General features: G+C 33.9%; 1 protein-coding gene and 1 long non-coding RNA gene across 10 annotated transcripts in view; one reads left to right on the top strand and one right to left on the bottom strand.

Annotated features, from left to right (window-relative positions):
- The window catches only part of TINAG (tubulointerstitial nephritis antigen), an 82,281-nt gene that overhangs the window by 20,753 nt on the left and 39,499 nt on the right, over window positions 1–22,029 (bottom strand). For 8 of the 9 annotated variants that reach the window (XM_006715062.3, NM_014464.4, XM_017010745.2 and 5 more), the window contains 4 exons: window positions 21,873–22,023; window positions 19,494–19,674; window positions 17,993–18,038; window positions 14,754–14,877 (listed from right to left, as the gene is read on the bottom strand). In XM_006715062.3, the coding sequence (XP_006715125.1) occupies window positions 14,754–14,877; window positions 17,993–18,038; window positions 19,494–19,674; window positions 21,873–22,023 (502 nt within the window). Of the gene's footprint in view, window positions 1–14,753; window positions 14,878–17,992; window positions 18,039–19,493; window positions 19,675–21,872; window positions 22,024–22,029 lie in introns of those variants that run through there. The other variant, XR_001743344.3, reaches the window with a different exon arrangement.
- On the top strand, window positions 1,764–3,950 carry TINAG-AS1 (TINAG antisense RNA 1). Its single transcript, XR_001744174.2, has 3 exons — window positions 1,764–1,848; window positions 2,212–2,385; window positions 3,871–3,950. It is a non-coding gene; the product is annotated as a TINAG antisense RNA 1 (long non-coding RNA).

The following is a 22,029-nucleotide window of genomic DNA, read 5'->3' as shown; positions in this document are numbered from 1 at the left end:
AACAAAGCTTTTGGATTTCTTTTGAGTTGTTTTAATGTGTATAATAGTGTATTTCTTTCCATATCAATAGACCAAAGTTCTTTTCTTTTCTAAATTATACTAATTTTCACTATCACTGAATGTCATCTTTTTACAAGCAAAAAGTGATTTTCTAAAAATCGTGTGAGAATTACTGCATATGGAGATGAGTAAGCTCATGAGGAGCAAGCATAAGTGACTTATTTTCAAACACCAGCCTTACAGCTCATGTTTCAAATTTTCTTACAAACATTACATATTGAAATAACTCTTGAATTCTAGGGCTACTTTGCAAGTCATAAAAACCAGGAATGTTCGATTCAAAACTGTCAAATATCTACGTTATTACTTTTATGATCAGAAAACAGTAAACATTATTTAAAAATATATCTGAATATATTTCATATATTGTATATCATAAATATCTACATGTAGCCTTCAAATGTGTAATAAAAAATGTACAAGCCTTCAAAATTTCAATGTAAGAATCTCTGAAATATAGCATTTATCTGAAGAAAACAAAATGCACGGTACTTAATAGTAGTTTTTAAAAAGTAAAAATACCTATATTATCTCTTTATTAGTTAAAAAAATTCAATTTAAGTTGTTCTGAGGTTTTTGTTTTGTTTTTTAATCTCACTTGGAAAAATAAACAAGAAAATAACTACATAAATATTGAGAAAAATGAGAGCAATGAAGCAATGCGTGCAATACCTGGTAGTAAAACTAAGTGGAATACATTGAATTATAAAAGTGAGCATGTTGAACAAGACACCCTAGAATCAAACCCTAATAAATTTATATAAGAATTTAATAAGCAATAAAATGCATTAAAAGAGTGAGGAAGAGGTACATTATTAATTATGCAATATTGAAGCTTTTAGTTCAGAGTTTGAAGAAAAAAATTAGATCTTCACCACACATCATATGCCCAAATATCTTTCAGGCATACTTTTGACATAATTACATAATAATTTAATAATGTATAATAATAATTAATATAATGATTTAATAACTATTATTTAATATTTAAATTATTATTTGATTATTACTTAATAATTACTTTAATATATAACATATAATTATATAATATGTTATATATAATACATTATAATATATTATATGTTGTATATTATAACATATGTAACATAATATTTAGTATAATATATAACTTTTAAAAATCTAGAATAAAAGTTAAAATATTATACAGGTCAAAACCATCAGAAATAAAATTACAAAATCCAACAATAATGGGGTTTACTCAATATTCTAAAGGGATATTTCTTCTCTACGGACTCAAAGTTTGTGTCCCCCCAAAATTCCTATGTTGAAATCTTAACTCCCATTGCAATGGTATTAGGAGGTGGGGTCTTTGGGAGTGATTACTTGATGAAGGTGGAATCTTCATAAATAGGATTAGCCCCTATAAAGGACACCATAGAGAGCTCCCCTGTGTGAGGACACAGCAAGACAGTCATTTATGAACAAGAAAGCAGGCCCTTCATCAAACACCAAATATGCTGGTACTACAATCTTAGACTTTCCATCCTCCAACACTGTGAGAAATAAATGTTGTGTAGGTCACCCAGTGTATGATATTTTTGTTACAGCAGTCTGAAGGAACTAAGACAGCTTTCAATGCATAATGAGCTCATACACAACAAGTTTTAAAAACTAGCACTCTACTAGAAAAATAAACAAAGAACAACAATAAAGAGTTCACAGTAGAGGATGCTCAAATGAATAATTAACACGTTCGCCTTTAATTCTGGGCCATTTTCTACTCCAGTTTTCACTTGTACCATCTCTACAGCACCTGCACATGCTCAGGTAGGGTTCTTCTCTTTGCTTCTATATACTTTTATGCCATTCATTTCTAAACCAATGAATTTACAATATTACCTGTCCATGTAGCTGTCTCCACTATTAGACTATGTGCACTTCAAGGTCAGGCAAATTTATGTATGTATTTCCCGGAGCTCATCTTTGCCAAAGTGCATCAGGAAAACATTCCTTTTACTTTTTAAATGTTATTCAGCTTCCACTACTTGCCTTGCAGTTTACTGAAATCCTCTTTCTTTACTTTGGTCACAGTTCCTAAACTCAGATTTATCTCAAAGTAGAATGACTCAGAACTAGGATGCTGAACTGAACTGCTTGCAAACGTAAAAGACATATTGGTCTCTTTATCAGGAACATCATTTCAAAGGATACGGGGAAAAGAGATGTCACATGAACACGTCTTAGAATTTACACTGTAAATCAAACAATGTTGCTGCAAAGGCATGTAAGTTAATATAGAAACAATGGAAGAATGTAAAGAAAACTCAGAGACAGGGAAGAAAGCCAGGATAGGCTCCAAGATCAGTAAGTAGTCATCATTAAATAGAAGAATGGCCCCCTGTCTTGGCTACCTCTTAGTATCATTTTTTATTAGATTCCTCCTTGCTCTACACTTACTCATAAGTTCCTTCAGATTCCTTTAATATGTCATATTCTATCTCCCTGTGAGATTAGGCATTTCCTGCTCATATTTCCTGGAGCAGCTTTCTGTTTTCATATATCCTTAATACTTTCTACTTGCCTGACTACATTCCACAGTAGGTGTCATTTTTTCCTGGCAACCTTCCCTGGTCCCCAGATTTGGAATTATGTGCCTTCCTAGATAATGCACATCTTCGCTACTCAATGTATATCCCTATCCTATCTCCATCTACACACTTAAGACATTGGACATTGGCACTTTCTTCTCTCTCTCTCTCTCTCTCCCTCCCTCCCTCCCTCTTCTCTATCTCGATGCTGAGGACAGAGGCACTATTCTATTGATATTTGTATTCTTAATGCCTGCCATGGTACTTGACATGTATTATGTGTTTTTAAAGAATTTCTTGTTGAAAAATTAAGCAAATGTTTTAATCTATATATTAAACATGTAGTTCAAAGCAAGAAAGAATATAATTTTAGATATTAAAAAAACTGCATTTGTTTTTATCCTAAAGAATTTTCTAGTAAAAGAGGGAACAGAGCAATTGTTTGAGAAAACCTAAGAGGCAACCAGACTTTGAGGAATCTTGACACTGTATCTTTCCTTTTCACACACACACACACACACACACATACACGTACGTGTACGCATATAGATACAGTATTCATAGACCATTAATTTTGAAGTCAGATAACCTGAAGAGTTGTCTTAACACTCTCAGTCTCTTATTTCTGGCAAAATGAAATAATAATTCCCACCTCATGAGGATTTTAAAAGTATGAGGGTTGTATTTCGTGAGAGTTCTACTACAGTTGTTTAGTGATAGTTCTACTACCGTGATTATGGATATAGTTGGTATCAAAAGCATGTATTACTTTATTCATATTTTTGAGACAAGGTCTCTATGTTGCCCAGTCTGTTCATGAACTCCTAGGCTCAAACAAGATTTTTGCCTCAGCTTCCTAAGTAGCTGGTACTACAGACACACACCATTGCACCTGGCTGTTCAAGCTTATAAAGCAGGGATTCTCTAAATTTCTCAGTGAAGACTCTCTAAAGAGAGAACATACAATCTCAGAGACCCTGAGAGATACAGACCAAGGTAGCTCTCTACAAACTCAAAATTTGAATCTCTAATGGGTTTTTCCTTTAAAATTTATGCAAATTTGGAATTCTACTCCAAAATATAACTCATTAAAATGTTCCCATCAAATCTTTTCATTTTCCAGTCACCTTTGCATTTGGGTGGAGCCATTGAATGAGTTCTAGCCAAAGGAATATGAATGGAGTTGTGGATTGTTTCTGAGTTAAGGCTTTAAGAAGCACATTTAAGAAGGCTTCCTTATGCTCTTCTTCATTGTCCCTAGGCTGGATGAGATCACAACATGTGACCCTCACAGATGATAGATCAAGAAAATGGGAAGAGCTTCAAAGCCCTGAAACCATATAAAGGAGAGTCACCCAACAACTAAAAGCACCCATCCTAAACTATTATGTGAACAAGAAACAAACCTCTATTAATATATTTGAATTATTAAATATTTTGAGTCTATTTGTGGTAGTGGCTACTGTTATTCAAACCAGTGCACCCCACCAAAAAAGAAAAGTGCAAGGAGGAGAGAAGCCTTTTGCAATCGAAAGACATTCTAACACCCGAATTAAATGTTATTGCAAAGTCTATACTAATTATCGCACATTTATTTGCATTTGCTAAATAAGCATAGTAGAAATGTTCATTCAACTGTCTTAGACTTCCCCATGCATTAAGAACCTCTAATTAAAACATCTGCTCTGAATTGATCAATTTGCCAGAGGTTAAACATAACATAGCATGAAAATTCAGCTTAGCATTCAGTTGTTTTTCAAAAAGACAGAGGAAAAAGAAAAGATAAATGGAGAAAAACAAATGGTGGCCCCAACAAAACTATGTCAAATAATTTGTAATTGCCCTAAATAATAATTTATGATCTTGGATTTCTTAAAATTTATTTGTATGGAAAATATGGTAAAAATACATTAAAATTCAGTACTGAGGCATTATTTTTCTGCTCTCCTAAAGGGCAAATATCTTTAACCAGAGCTAGATAGACAGATGATAGATAGATAGATAGATAGATATAGAGATATCAATGGTTTATGACTACAAAGTATGGTAACTTATTGAGGTACCTAAAATAGAAAACTATGGCTTTTAATCACTTTATAAAACTGTATTCTTAACCTGTAAAATATTATTTCCTTATTATTACATAATTACTTTTTTATTTTCTCATAATGGTTTTAAAAATCTAACAAAAAAGAAACTAAAGAATCCTAAAATCACTGAGATCAGAATTATCATGACAAACTATTATGTGAACAAAAAATAAACTTCTATTAATATATTTGAATTATTAAATATTTTTAGTCTATTTTGACTCAATCATTTTTCTATCTTCTCCAAATTCCTCAATTCTCTCCTTTTATCAGTCTTATGCCATTTATCAGTCTTTCTGTCATTTTAGTAACATATCAATCTTTGAGTTGATGTGTTATGCATATCCTAAACCCTTTTTTCGTTTCTGACTTTTTATTGCACCCATTTGGAAAATCATCAGTCTTGGATGAACTCATTTTCCCATTTCTCTTTGCATACAGATGAGCAGTTGACCACAACTGCAGAAAGCACACACAAGAGGGCAGAAAGGTACTATTACCAATGCCTAATGATCCCTTTGGGTTCCCCTGGTTATCTTCCCCTCCTAAACACCTAGATGACCATTACAAACTATCTAATTTTCCTCACATTTCTAACTGTACATTCCTCTCCTCCCACCACATCTTTTTTCTACAGATAACCTAACCTTCTAGCTCCTAAAGATAAAAGAGGCACTCCAACAGAAATTTTTCTAAACTTACCACTACTCTAAACACCAAAACATTTTCAACTAACCTCATTTTCTCTCCAGATACAACAGAGTTACCACTTGGTCCCCTCTCTAAGACCAATTTCTATGCATGCTCTTTGAATACCAACCTTTCCAGGCTTCCAGCTTTCTAAGAAACCCTACATTAGCAACTCTCTCCTACTTTTTTCTTTTTAAACCTCACTGGCCTCTCCCACTCTGTCTCTGTAAACTCATCCATTTCTAGTCAGTAAATAAATATTGAATGTTCTCATGGCTTAGTCTCAATCAGTCTGTCTTCTTTTTCTGTGTAGCCCTACCCATGCTCAACTTTTCTCTCTCCTGTGAGATCAGTAAATCTGCCTGTTTTTTTTTTTTTTTTGATACCCGTTGGCACTTTTTTGTCTCAAAAACATCTCTAAACTATGAGATCCCACAGTAGACTTTTTCTCCATCTCATTGTATGACACCGTTCCCTGCCATAATTCTAAAGGTGGATCACTCTTGACTTCTCCTTCACCATGCCCCATTACAAACTCACATCATGTCTTACAGCTTTTCTCCCCAAATATGTCTTGATCCACTCATATCTCCCAACTCTTCCACCATCTTACCAAGTCCAAACTCTTGTCTTTTACTTGCAATACAGAAATTTGCCTCTATATCACTCTCTTTATACTCAGAGCAATCTTTAAATAATGCAAACAAAGATTATGCCACTTTTCTACTTAAAAAACTTCAATTACTTTCCTTTGCTCTTTATATCTTTAACCACATACTTAACATCCTCGACAAAAATCTGTGATATAGTCTACAAGTCCTGCCATTTGTGATTCAGCAAATACAATCTTCCTTGTGTCCACACAGTGTTGTGTAGTCTTCTAAGCATAGGGACTTCACACAAGTTGCTCCCTTTGCATGTTTCTATACAACCCATAAATCCCAGCTCAGACTTTACTTCCTCAGCGACGTTTCTCAGATCTTCAAAATTGGGCCAAATCTATCATATGTCTTCTTACCACTTTCTACCTTTCCTTTATAAAATAAAATTGCAGAAATTCAGTCAAAACTTCAGGCTCTACTTCTAATTCTAGTTGTTTTTCTATTTCCACCACATCTGCAGTTTCTTTCTCCACTAAAGTCTCGAAATCCACCCACAGTAATCCCTGAGGACTGGAATCAACTTCTTCCAAACTCCTGTGAATGTTGATATGTCGAACTTCTATGAATCACAAGTGTTCTTAATGGCATCTAGAATGCAGAACACTTTCCAGAAGTTTTCAATTGAGTTTGCCAAGATCCATCAGAGAAATAATTATCTATGGCAGGTATAGCCTTATGAGATGCATTTTTGAGTAGTAACACTTGAAAGTAGAAATTACCTCTTGTTCCATGGGCTGCAGAATGGGTATTGTGTTAGCACACATGAAGACAACATTAATCTCCTTGTACATCTCCATCAGAGCTCTTAGGTGATTAGGTGCATTTTCAATGACAAGCAGTATTTTAAAAGGAATGTGTTTTTTTTGAGTAGCAGATCTCAACAGTGGGCTTACAATATTCAATGAACCATGTTATAAACAGATTTGCTGTCATCCAGGTTTTATTGTTCCACTTCTAGAATGCATGCAGAGTTAATTTAGCATAACTCTTAAGGGCCCTAGGGTTTTTGGAATGGTAAATAAGCATTGGCTTCAACTTCAAGTCACCAGCTACCTTAGACCCTAAAAAGAGAGTCAGCCTGTCCTTTGAAGCTTTGATATCAGGCACTGATGTCTCATCTTTAGCTATAAAAGTCCTGGATGGCATCTTCTTCCAATAGAAGACTGTTTCACCCACATTGAAAGTCTGTTATTTAGTGTAGCCACCTTCATCAATTATCTTAGTTAGATCTTCTGGATAACTTGCTGCAGTTTCTCCATCAGTACTAGCTACTTCACTTTGTACTTTTATATTATGAAGACGGCCTCCTTTCTTAAGCCTTATGAACCAATCTCTGCTAACTTCAAGCCTTTCTTCAGCAGCTTACTCACCTTTGTCAGTCTTCATGGAATTAAAGAAAGGTAGGGCCTTGCTGTGAATTAGGCTTTGGCTTAAGGACATGTTGTGGCTTGTTTGATCTTCTTTCCAGTCCACTAAAACTTTTTCTATTTCAGCAATAAGGCTGCTTTGCTTTCTTAATATTTGTATATTTGTTGGATTAGCACTTTTAACTTCCTTCAAGGTTTTTTCTTTTGTATTCACAATTTGGCCAATTTTTTAGTACAAGAGGGTTAACTTTTGGCCAATCTCCAACAACATGTCTTCCTCACTAAGCTTAATCATTTCTAGCTTTTGATTTAAAGTGAGAAATGTGTGACTACTCTGATATGGTTTGGCTCTGTGTCCCCACCTAAATCTCATGTTGAATTACAATCCCCAGTATTATGGAGGGGCTTAGTGGGAGGTGACTGGATCATAGGAGTGGATCTCCCCCTTACTGTTCTTGTAATAGTGAGTTCTCATGAGATCTGGTTGTTTAAAAAGTGTGTAGCACTTCCCTCTTCTCTCTCTCTCCTATCGCCATGTGAAGATATGGCTTCTCCTTTGCCCTTTGGCCATGATTGTAAGTTTCCTGAAACCTCTCCAGTCATACCTCCTGCACAGCCTGTGGAACTATGAGTCAATTAAACCTCTGTTATTTATAAACTACCCAGTCTCAGGTAGTTCTTTATAGCAGTGTAAGAATGGACTAATACATCTTCCTTTCACTTGAACCCTTAGAAGCCTTTATAGGAGTACTAATTACCATAATTTTAATATTGTTGTGTCTAAGGGAATAGATAGGCCTAAGGAAAAGAGAGAGAAGGGAGAACGCCCCATTGATAGAAGAGTTAGAACATACACAATATTTAACAATCAAGTTTGCCATCTTATATGGGTGCTGTTTGCGGCACCCCAAAATAATTACTATAATAACACCAAAAATCACCAATCACAGGTCACCATAACACATATAATAATGGAAAAGTTTGAAATATTGTGAGAATTACCAAAATGTAACACAGAGACTCAAGCAAGCACATGCTGTTGAAAAAGATGATACCTTCAGACTTTCTCCATGTAGGGTTGCCACAAACTTTCAATTTGAAAAAAAAAAAAAAAAAAAAAAAAAAAAAAACACAGTATCTGTGAAACACAAGAAACCAAAGCACAATAAGATGAGGTAGGACTATATATCTTCAGTAAGATTCTGCTCCACAAACAGGGATGACAAGATGAAAAAAAGTCAATGTTTATACTAATTCTTTCCTGTAATTTTCTAAAAATGTTACTGTTGAATTTATTCATTTAAGTTATTGCACTAATTCCTAAGATTTATAAGCAAAAGTAAATGGCATTAATGCATTACAACCAACTTGAGACTTGGGGATTAAATAAAGCTTAGACCTTCAATGGACAGGGACACAGGGCAAATTCTAATGGGCATGGAGATGTGGAATAGGACCATAATATGGAGAATATTGGGTGGGATAAAAATCTGAAATACCATATTTTGTTGATAGTAAAACACACTTTTATGACATTTTAACATCTCTAAAATTGGGATTCATACCATAATCGATGGAGTTTCTTAGTTTAATCAGAAATATTTTCCTCTTTTTATTGGTATATAAAATAAGGCCGTATTTCAAAATAAATAGTGTTATTTATTCAATTAAATGCATCTATAGCCATAGCATTCAAAATGGGGATGACAGAGTTATTGAAAGGGAAGAGAGAGGGGGGAAATAAGGCTACTAGGAGCAAATATATGTGTTACAGGTTTGTATCTACCTACCACAGTCCTGTGAGTTATATGTATGGGAATATATAGCCTTTATCACCTTATGCTAGAATCAATTGCGAATGTATCTGCCTCACCCGCTAAACTCCTTAAGAGGAGGACTATAAATCAATCCTCCTTGTATTTCCCAGTTCTGGGCACTTGATAGAAGATCAAATTCATTTTTTCAATAAGTTTAATCTAATAGTTTCACCTTCTACAAAAAGCGCAGCAAACAGAATTTGTCGTGTTACATTAGTTAGGTACTTCTTAGGAGTATATTAAGTTCTCTGATAAGGAATATTTACTTACTTGAGCTATTTGATTGCTCTCTAATTCATTAATGCATTCATTTCTTGAATGTAGTAATTACCAAATCAGGAAATCCTAATGGATAAATGAATTAAAATCTAACTGCTCCAGGGCACCTACCAATGCTCAGGTGACTTAAGATTTTTGTAAAATTAAAAAAGTATATATTTTCCAAAACTAATTTGCCTACTAGCAGAATTGGCCTTAATTGTTACGTGAGTAAAGTAAATTTATAAAGATCCCAATTTTCTAGGAGTTTATAAAAGTGAATTCACTATTGCAACTGACACACCAAATGTGAATACACAATGATAGAGGATTAAATGTAAACACATTTACATCTTGTTCAAACTGAGCATAAATGAATATAGAATTAGAGAAAAGAAAACATGACCAATATGACTAAATAGGTGGTAGAAGTTATAAATGGTCAGTTCTAATAAATCAAAGGAGGCTCCAAACAGTGAATGGAATTTTAGTTCTATGAATAATAGAAAAGTATAAGTCAATTACCTAGTGTGTGGTAGAAAATTTTTTCTAGATCAAGGAAGCCCCTAGATTGGGCAAAAATTGATAATGAAACATATATAGGAAAAAGTTTAGAAGGAATTAGACTTTTGAACTTACTGGAAATGGAACTTAGGTAGAGCTGAATTTCCAGTTACAGTGACACTGTTAAGACATTTTATTCCATTTACCTTCCTAAAAAGCCCCAGAAAAAGAATGGAAAAGCACAATAAAATGGAATGAATTTTAAGACCTTAATGATTTCTGTCTTTAATAAATTCAAACAAATGGTCATAATTTCAAAACACAACTTTGTTGAATAACAAAAAAACCTTTTGTTCTGTACCGAAGAAAAATGGGTGCTGAGACGGCATTCACCAAAACCGTTCCCCTGCACCACTGGACCTGAATAGGAAAAATTTCCCCTTAGAAGTACATAATGCAGTCTAGAAACACCCCTTAAGATTTTTGTAATGAGGACCATTTGCAAGCTAATGCGATCAGATGTCAATCCCTTCCCGTACTACCCACTGGAGGTCAGCTGAAAAAGAAATCTCATACTAGAAGTCAATTGGGTTGCCAAAGTCCAGGCCAGCCCTTCAGGGGTGATGGCTAAATGATGCAGCAGGGTGAAGTAAAAAAGAAAGGCAAAGAGTAGTAGTAAGGAATTTATTATAAGTCCCATCAAACTATCTGAGCTATAAACTAAGGGCAGAACTCCCAGGATAACAGCAAAGGTTGATCTGATGAGCACAGGTTCAACATTTACAAACTTGAATCGAAGCTGAAGAGTGCCTCAGCTATCTCCTCTAATTTCTCCCTAATCTTTTTTTTTTTTTTTTTGACGAATAACTTCTCCATGTAAATATAAGTAACAGCAAAGGAAAACTAGTGCAGACCATAAGGAAAAAACTCATTCATTCGTTGAAAAGAGAAAACATTAAGTGCATTACTGATCAACGGATCAGTACCGTATTTAGTGGTTTGGCTACCTCAGTAAATAATACAGACACCAGCTCTCATGGAACGTCATTCTAGTAAAGAAGACAGACAATATACAATCAACATAAAAAAGCTAATTAAATTATACACTGTGTTAAAAAGTGATAATTGTATAAAATTTTTAAAAATAAAGCAGGTAGGGGGATCAGGATTGCTGGAGCAGAGGGCAAGTCACAAATTATATAGGGCAGCCAGGGAGGACATATTAAGAAGGTGAGACCTGACCAGAGACTGGGTGGAGACACAGACACTAAGGAACTGTATATACAGTAGAAGAGCATTTTAGGTAGAGGGAAAGGCACTGGGGTACATGTTGCTGAAACATTAAATAATCACTAGAGCAGGAAATCAAGGTACAGATGGGTAGGAGTTGAGATCAGAAAGTTGATGGGAGTGGGAGTCGGCGAGAAGGAGAGTCCTCAGAATATGTTGGCCCTTTATAAGCCATTGTGAGAAATTTGGCTTTTAATCTGATGGAATTGGGAATATATTGTAGGATTCTGAACAAAGAATAACAAGATCTAAAGTTCTAAAAGGAAAACCCTGTTTTCTATGTTGAGACTAGACTGTCAAGGAGCGAAGATCAATGCAGTAAAATTTGTTAGAAGCTACTTCAGTAATCCAGGTACAAAATAACAGGCAATGGTGGCTTAGGCAAGGGTGATGGTAGTTCAGATAGTAAACAGTGGTTGAGTTCTGGATATACGTTGAAAGGGCCAAAAGAGGTTGTGACATATTGAAAGTAAATTGTGAAGTAAAGGAATAAAGGATGACTCCAAGGCTTCCAGCAGAGAATATGGAAGAACAGAGCTGTCATTAATTAAGATAGAAAAGATTGATGCTGTTTAGCAAGAATAAAGGGAGAAGATCAGGAGTTCTGTTTTGGAAGTGTTGAATTTGAAGCATTTACTCCCTAATAAGGTATCCAGGTGATGATGTCAAATAGGTCATAGAATGTATGAGTCTGGAGTTCAGGAAAGAGGTCTGAGCTGAGATATAAATTCAGTTGATGTCAGCTTTTAGATGGCACTTAAAGCCAGGATGAACTCAGAGAATGATGAGCTCACCAGACACAGTGAGACTAGAAGCAAGAGAAGAAACAAGACCTGAGACTAGGGCATGTCAACGTTAAGAAATGTAGAAGTACAGGGGGGAAAATGCAGCAAAGTACACTGCAAAGTTGTGGCCAAAAAGAAAAAAATCAGATGAAGAGGATGGGCAGGTCTGGGATCTGACCAATGAATTTAGCAATGTGGATGCCTTTGATAACCTTGAAATAGCTATTTTTGTGAAGAGGACGGGAGTAATGAAAACATGATTGGTGCAGTTTAAGAAAGATTGGAAAGAGAACTGAAAGTGATTCCAGGCAAATCTTGCAAGGAGTTTGCTGTAAAGAATGAACATAAATGGAGTGTGGAGGAAGCAGAGTCCAAAAAAGTGCTGAGGTTTTTTTTTTTAATCTGAGGGATAACAACACTATTTGTATGGTGGTAGAAATAGAAATGATTACAGAGAAGAAAAAGGAGAAATTGCTTCTGCATGTCCTTGAATAGCTAAGAGGGCCTGGAGTCTACAATAAATGAAGAGAGATTTAGACAAGAACTTATCCTTTGTTGAAGAATCAAAAATGTCTCTTTTAATTAAATTTTATTAAATTCAAGTAAAGTTAGCCTGAATAGCAATAGTTTCAAATGACTTATCCTATATTGTCTTTCTATTTTTGTTTGTCAAACTTTTCACTAACAGAGAGAGAGAGAGCAAGAGAAGACTTACCTGACATGTTTTTTACCAAATATGATAATAATGATCTTTGAGCATTAATATGACATAATTTGGGAATTTTTGTTTTTTGAGACAGAGTCTCACTCTGTTGCCCAGAGTGCAGATTTAAGCTCACTGCAACCTCCACTTCTAGGGTTTAAGCGATTCTCGTGCCTCAGCCTCCTGAGTAGCTGGGATTACAGGTGTCTGCAACCATGCCCAGCTAATTTTTGTATTTTTTTTATAGAAAGAGGGTTTCACCATGTTGGCCAGGCTTATCTTAAATGCCTGGCCTCAAGCAATCCACTCGCCTTGCCCTCCCAAAGTGCTGGGATTACAAGCATGAGCCACCACACCTGGCCTGATTTGGTATTTTTTACTATCTTCTTTTTAAGTTGTTAATTTTAGTAGAGAGTGTATCTTCATTTTATTAAAAATGATACACTTTTTAAAAATTAAGGCAAGCACCTTGTTCCATATAACCTTAAAAAGTAGGGTAATAGGAAGCTACCATAGGCTTCCAAAGACCAGTGATGCTGAGTAATTAAAACTATTCAGTTTTATAACCCTATTAAAATGGAAAAGTGTTTCTTTCAAACCCAGTGTTAGAAAGAATGTTGAGAAACTGGCATTTTTATATACTGCTAGAGAAAAACATTAGCAAAATTTTCCTTTTCAAAAAATTTGAAGTACTGCACTATCTTGTTTTCCTGTGAAATCTCTTTCCTTCTTTCCTTCTTTCCTTCCTTCCTTCCTTCCTTCTTTCTTTCTTTGTTTCTCAATAGTTATATATCTAGGAGATTCATTAAAAATACTCCAAGATTTCAACAGAGGTTATTATCTAGGAATGGTGAAAACATTTATAAATACACACACACACACACACACACACACACACACGTTACATTTTTTCCAATTTGTAGATTCAGCATCCTACATTAACATGAAAATCACATTCTTCAATCCTAAGATACATGTATTTTCATATTCATGAAATCAGCACAGTCATAAAATTAGTATTATCTTAGATTCAAAGAAATGTGATAATTTTGTAATTGAAATATTAGAGTATTTAAAATAAAGGAAGGACAACGATTAAGGAAGCATCACACAGGACAGCTTGTCTACATAGCTTAGAACTGACTTAAAGGTGTTTCAAAGATCAGTAAGGAGAAGACAACAATTTGATTGTAGGTGAGGTTGTTTTGCGTAGGCTCAATAAAATTAAGTCATTAAAGACATGTTCAATGGGAATGAAGTTATTTACCATAATATGCAATATGAGAAGAGTGAGATTTTTAGATGGAAAATAAAACTTTGTAGCATTTCATTTGAACTAGAGTGAGACATTATGAGATGTTTTAGTCAGAATAAAATTGAGAAGGCGCTGGGAAAGTGGTCTCATAACCACACTGTCTTTCAGAGTACAGCCTACTTGTAAAATTACTCACTCTTGAAATGCCACCACCAAATTTTGAACTTCTTTCTTTCCCTTGCATAGATTAATATATTTTACTTAAAAATTGATCAATCTAATTTCTACAATTCTCACATAAATATAAAGTAACCTTATATTGAATTATAGGTGACCTTCTCTTCCTGCTTAATCTTTGCTATTTGCAATTCTATTCAAAACCATCTCCCCAAACCATAATACGCCTTGGATTTGCTCTCTTCCCTTGATTATGCCTTATGTAGAATTTATTTCAATAATACATGTTCTTTGCCCTTAGAACGGATTCTTAAGGACATAATCACAAGAAGTGAGAGGTAGGAAAAGATCATTTTTCCCAGAATGCTGAGTTAGCCTTTTACTGGACTTTAAAATAATGACTAAATAGTGGCAAGGTTTAGATCATTTTTCATTTGTATCACAATCTCTCCTACAAAGGGGATTCTAGCATTTAAAACACTGCATATTCTTATTTTCAGTTTCATTTTCCAAAAGAATTAAATGAATTTTGTTTAATTGCCTTACCCAGTGAGTTTGACTGCATGTGTCTGAAGCTTTCGATATTTTTCTGATTCTTTATTTGTGCTGGTAACATGTCTGTATATCCCTGTCTTATAATGGAAGAAATCTTCACGGACTTGCATTATGGCTAAAATAAAATCCAACAGAACAAATGGCACAGTATTAAAATATCATCTTTAAAAACCACCAGAAAATTTCACGGAACAACCAATGGGTAAATTGCAAGGAGATGAATCTAAGAAGGGGCTGTGTGATTCAGCCTAATTTTCTTTCCTACTTAATTAATTAGTTGCAATATTTTTTTATCTTATAAAAACAACTTTTAGCTATTTAGAATATTAAGTACACATTATGCTTTTAAAACACCATCTAGTCTTAATCAACAGAGACGCTACTACCAAAAATTAAGCGCTTGCAACAAAAGCATACTATACTTGGTCAGTGATTGCTATTTCTCCACTAACCTTGTGCTTTACCACAAGCCTTTTAAAACCCCAATTAAGCTAGCAGAGCCTAGCAAACTGAGCTTAAAGCAATTGTTGTTAATCCTCATAAGTAAATACAAACCTTTCTTTTGTGAGTTGGAATAAAAAAGCAAACTCCTGGCAAAATAAAACTTTGACAGAATTTCATCCTCCCAGCTCTGGAGAGATAAGCAATGTTGTACACTTTAAAAAGCAGGGCTTATATTTTAGAAAGCTCTCCTTCCTTCCTTCACCTAAATTACTTCATCTCTCTATTGTGTGCTGCTTTGTTGAAGGGCTTTGGCAATTCAGGGTGAAGCCTTTAAACTTCTCTTATAGAAGATATGAATTTGAAAATTTTTAATTGGGATTAGATATGTATAGCTTGATAACTGTGTACAATACTTGTCTTAATTTGACAAGCATTTTAAATAAAATAGGAAGTAAGGTAACTAGTGTTTGACAGATCCTTTAAAAAAGCTTATACTCCAAAGTTAAATATAACTTTTCAATGTTCCAGTTTTTGTTTCATTTTTTAATGTTCCATGCCTTTTCTGATGCTGTGCAAATAGTCGCAAAAGAGGTTAAAACTTCTTTATCTACTCTAAAACACATTCCTAGAGGATTTTAAGAATTTATGTAACTGTACTTTACGCAGATCTCTGCTTTTGTTCTCTATCCATCACCTATACTTATTTTCAATCCTACAGATTTTAGAAGAATGTACACAAAGTTATTCATTCAGGGTTCTATTGGCTTTTACACTCTTTCGTACTGAGACAGGGGAAATGCCGTATGCCAGGCCAGGCAATCCTGTAACATTTATAGCAAGAAGAGTCAACCAGCATTCTATCCATTTATAAAAATGTGAAGATATTGCTAGTGGCTTTTCTTTTCTGTAGAACCATTGACTCTTTGAGGTCTTATGATTCAACTTTCCTGTAAGCATCATAAATAAAATGTATTCATTATTCCTGAAAAACACTGCCACCTAAGAAAAAGGATGAGAAGCCACCATAATTACCTGAAAGATGGCTTCTTTCTGCAGTTTCTGATACCAAACAGACTTGATAAATTCACGAATATATAACTATATAAGTTACAATCATGCAATTTTACTTTTGGAAAACTGCAGCAAACTCATTATACAGAATTATAACACGGATGAGATGTTTGGTTGTTCCTCGTCTCTTGCTCCTGGCTTAGGCTAGCAGGAAGCAGGTTCTCAAGAAATCTTTGTTAAATGAATGTTGAATAACTTGCATTTTTGTTTTATTGCTTTGAAATGTTATGTCTTTATTTTTTATTCATTCTGTGAAATTTATGAGCATTTCAGTATATGGCCATAAAATAAATCTAAGGTATTTAAATTTTCTCAATTTTAAATAATTACAATTCAAAATTGTTTGATTGATTTAAAAAGAGGGAGAGAGAGAGGGAAAAAGAAAAAAAAAACACTTGAAACAATAATACAACAACTTGAAGATTCTGAAAGGTTAAGAAAATTGCCCAAAGTTATTTAAACAGCAAATGCCAAAGTTGGGATATTTTAGTGTAACCTTGAGTCCAAATGCCTGTGATCTTTTAAATTTGTCACACAAGCACCACTTAATGGAGCATGCATTGAAATTAGAGATTAATTCCCTCACTCTTCAAATAACCAACAAATAACCAACAGCTGTAAGGGGGAACAGAAAATTTCTCTTCATTTGTTTCAGGTTTTGGGTAATGTCCCATAATTTTCCCATAATTTTTAAAAATTAAATTCAGGACATGTTTATGTAGGCTGTGGTTTCTCAATAAATGCTAAGTGGTGATAATGATCAATAAAAATTCATCCAACACAATTATAAAATCCATGATTCCTGCCTATATATATTTAACCGATACTAATTAGATCAGTATTCAGAAAAATTAAAATTGGCAACAGTTCCTTAAGTGTGTACCAAATGTTTTACATTTAATTTTGGCCTATTTTTTATTCCACTGCATTGATAATATATTCCGGGCCCTTCAGTATTCACAACCTAAATTTTCATTTTAGACCTCATTGGATTTGTTCTTCCATGCACTTCAAGCCAATGTTTATACAGGGAATACATTCTGTGAGTATACCCTTATTCAGGTCATTGATGCAAAATAAAATTCAACAGGTAAGCAGAATAAATTATCATAAGAGATGATATAAATCAAAGGCAATATACAAGTAACTGTATGATTTCATTATTTACTGTTACTCTAAATAAAACATTTACAAAATTGATCAAAATTGAAAACCTTTTGTAAAATGTAAAATTACACTAGTTTACTCGCTTTATTTTGAGCTAATAGAAGGAAAATATTAATCCTCAATTTTTTCAATCCACGACCTAATCTATTTAAACTGAAGATAAGAAAACTGTATGTATGATTCTTAAATATGACTGAATAAATAAAGTAAGCTTCATTACAAATTAGTCAGTTGGCATTTCATGTTGGACTTTCTGTTGGTCCATGATCACTTTGGAAAGATTTCGGAGTTATTCATCAAATGTGTCATTAATTTTTAAGAGTTCAATTTATAAATGAGTCTATCTTCTGAAAATAAAATGGCAGCTAATTAAGATATAGGTAAGCATATTTCTCATAACTGCACTCATTTTAGAACTGTTGAAGCCTTTTGGATACTCTTAAAGTAAAAATTTTCTTTATTTTATTAAACTCCTATTACATGAGCTCAATGTAATGTTGTTTATTAAAGGAATGAGTAAGAAAAAACCGTATTTCATTCAAGCTTACCTTGAACTGGTCCATTTTGCATGATTTCTTTCATTATCTCAGTTTCCTGGATGGAAAAATATGAATAAGCAATATCATTGTTATCAGAGCATACTAAACCCATTGATTGGTGTACAATGTTAAGTGTTTGCAATTTACTCTCAATTGTACTTTGAAAAACTCACGTATATTATGCTACATTAATGAAATTGTTAAAGACAAGATGCACCCATTTGTTTTAATGACATTTATCACTAAATAGTAAATTTGGAGTGGAGACAAAATACAATAGCCTTTTATGGTTATAAAGAAACAATGTAAGTTAAAGCAATATTTAATTAGTGGAGATTACTAGTACCTCTAATTTTTTTCTCACAAGAGATATCCCAAATGATTGTTTAGTTAGATGTCTCAGTAGCTTTAGTACAAATATTTCTATGATGTCTCCTAATGTTTAATGAAGCCCTCTGTAGGGAGGCAGGGCACTCATTCATCCATTTTTCTGTACATATTGAGCACAAAGTACATGCCAGAAACTATGACAGGAACAAATATTGACCCTGCACCTATACTCAAGGTATTTACATTTTGGTTGAATGACACTACTAATTTCATTATTATTTAATAAGATCCATTGTAGAGACAAGCGCAAAGTGTTACGTTTGCAAACAAAAAAGGAAAATTAATTCTGCCTGGAAATCAAGGAAAACGTCACAGAGAAGATGAAGTTTTTACCTGGGCCTTGACATTTGCTTGGCATTCTAGATGGAAAGGCTTGATAACCATTTGCATCAGAGGAATTATCACCTAGCTAAGTGGAAAAGTATAACAGAGCATGGTGTACCTGGGGAAAAGAGACTAGTTCTATGTATTAGGAGCATTATGGCTGGGTAGAGTGGCAGATGCTGGCAGGACATGAGTGTATAAAAGTAGTACGTCAAAACCAACTCATGAAAGGCCAATGTGCTATGGTTAGAACACCGAATTGTATTCTGGAGATAATTAGAAGACACTGGAGGTTCACAAATTCTGAAAACGAGAAGGCTTGGGGAACACTGATATGAAGAAGTAAATTCGCCTAGGCTTTTAACAGACAAACTAGAATCCAAGGGACTCTTTTTTCTATTAGACCCAGGTCCTCTTAAATTATTTTGTTGAGTGAGGCAAAGGATTGATAAAATGAGCTAATACCACAAAAAAGTCAGTGAAAAAGTGTTTAACTTAACTTTTAATTGTCAAGTTCAAATATATGTATATACACATATTATGAAACATAATTTTAAAACCCTATTTCCTTGGACATTTTAAAATTTAAGTCAGTCCTTTACACTGCTAATGTTACAAAGATAAGACATCATACCCAAACTGAAAGTCCTTAAAAATATTAAAAATTATACATGAAAATATAATATTTATTTTAGAATATAATAGTTTTAATTAGTTTTTAAATTGTTTTAGTTACAGTAGAGCTATATACATTTGAGAAAGCCAACTATTCTTGATTCTTGCCATTTATACTTACGTTGGAAGAGACTCTGTATGGAGGAGAACATTGATAGATCCTGTTAGATTTTTCTACGTTGTTGGGACATGGCTTCGTGGCATGCCGTTTTCCTCGCCCATCAGACCTGCTTGCCATGGCACATCCATTGTTGGTAGCATTTTGGTCTTTGAAAAGTGGGTAGCATGCGTGGGATACCAGTCTATGAGGAATAAGCAAAGAAGCAAAGGTAATATTTAGGAGAATGTCGTAATATCCTTTTTATATTTAATCTTACTGAATTAAACATTCATAAATTATTCTGGTTACTTACATGCATAATTTTCAAAATAGTGAGTGACTCCAACACAGAAGCTCAATGACATTACACTCTTCCCTACCCTCCTCTTATTTTTTCATTATAATTTTAAAAATCTTGCTTTGATCAATTTTTATAAATAATTCTATCTGTAGTATAGAATTTCCTGAAGATAAAAAATGGCTGTCAATATTAAGTCTGTGGTAATATTAATAGGGGAAGGACCCCTTCAACCTGTTTATATAATTATAATTTGGAAGAGCTAAATTTAAAATTTAATATAAACCAGACAATGAATCTGACTATTTCCAGATGGGATATTAAAATTATGTAAGTTGTAACTTTAAAGTTTTTATTTTGTTTTGTTTTTGTGTTTGTATATTTTTATTAAGTTATAGATATGTTCACATAATACAAACAATCATATATCTGTAGTTCGTGATACTTTGAGGGAAATAGTATAATATTAATATAATATTAAATGTTAATAAAGTAGAAAACTATCAGACATGTGTATTATCTAAAAGAGAAAATGATTTTGATTTCTGATTTTGAAAGTAAACATAGCAAAGTAGAAATTATTCGGCACCAATTCAAACATAATAATATTGAATAAAAAGATAAATTGTAAGGGAAATAAAATCATGGTAATGGTATTGTAGATACTCTATGCTGAAATGGCCATAGAAGTATCCACAAGGATTGGTTCATGAAAATGTAATGTGTTTCCAACACAGTATGAGAATCTGAGGAAAGAACATGACAAAAGCAAAACCATTGAAAACACTCAAACAACCTAAAAAATATTGCATTAAATGCATTACATTTGTATTAAATGATGAGTGCTGTGGACTGAATGGTGTCACTTTAAAATTCATATGTTGAAGCACTTATACCCAATGTAATGATATTTGGAGGTAGGCCTTTGGGAGATTATTAACTTTAAAGGATGTCATGAGGTTAGGGCCATAATAGATACGATTAGTGCCCTTATAAGAAAAGGAAGAAACCAGAGCTCTCTTTCATCATGTAAGGACACTGTGAGAAGGTGTCCATCTGAAAGCCAGAGAGCCCTCACCAAGAACCAAATCAGCCTGGTCCTGGATTTTGCAGCCTCCACAACATCAGTGTTTGCGTTGAAGACACTCAGTCTATGGAATTTTGTTACAGTACCCCAAGCAATCCAATACAATGAGATTTAGTCAGGTCTCAATAATAATTTACATTTTTAAGTTCTTAAAGGGCTGTTATTTTTTATCATAATACAAAATGCAAGCCAACCAAGCACTAGTACACAAGGAAAGTATCAGCCCAAGTTGCCCATTCAAAGTACCACATTTTAGGCAAAACGTATGAAAAAATTTAAAGCAATTTATTGCAACCCATCAAAATCTGACATACACTATTTTCTACAGCATCTAACTAGTCCTATAGCAGACCCAGAGCACTGAGTGGATGATGAAGAGCAAGTGAGCAGTACATATATATAACACTCTTTATCAGCTGCAGCTTCCTTAGCTGAATAACTCAGCTTTTTAGCAGATCAGCTCTTATAGAAGACACAAGGATGTTATATGGGTATCAGCCTACATGAAAGTAAGGAAATGCAGCCCCCATTTTTCATCAAATGGAGTGGAGAAAATTAATGAACAATACTGATGAGTTGAAACAACTGTAAATTATTTCTTTATATTATTATTCTTATGTTTAGCCTAATTTTACCTGACATTATCTGTTCATCAATCTGGGTAACTGAAAAGCACAGCAGAGAGATCAGCAACCCTGATTATTTTATTCTGCCTGTGGGGACTCACTTGGCTCAGAACAACAAAAAGAAAATATTTACTTGAGTCTTCAAAAGTAAAATTCATATTAATTTAGCTAGAAATGTATACGTTCTTCAGGAGGTGTTTCTAATAGCTTCTAATCCCAATAGATAAGAAATATAGTATACATTTAAATGTAGCATATTTATATTCATGTAGATGTAGTATATATATTTTTAAGTACTTTTTTGTAAAAATCTTGGGATTATTTTCCTTGTTCTAACACAATGCATCATTCATAAAAATCCTAGAAACACATGTTGAGCAGCTATTTACCCACGTTTTCTCAGGTACCACCAAGCCCTATCGATGCTTCCACTATTGCATCCATGACGGTTCTTGGCACAGCAAGAGATCAAATTCTGAGGGGATAGATTGGCCGTGTATCGACCCTTAGACTGAATTGCTATTCGGTCAGCAGCCACACCTGTTT

Source organism: Homo sapiens, chromosome 6 (genome assembly GCF_000001405.40).
Source record: "Homo sapiens chromosome 6, GRCh38.p14 Primary Assembly".
NCBI classification, from domain to species: Eukaryota; Metazoa; Chordata; class Mammalia; order Primates; family Hominidae; genus Homo; species Homo sapiens.
The sequence above is the reverse complement of the archived record's forward strand: the minus strand, read 5'-3'. Positions and strand labels throughout refer to the sequence as shown.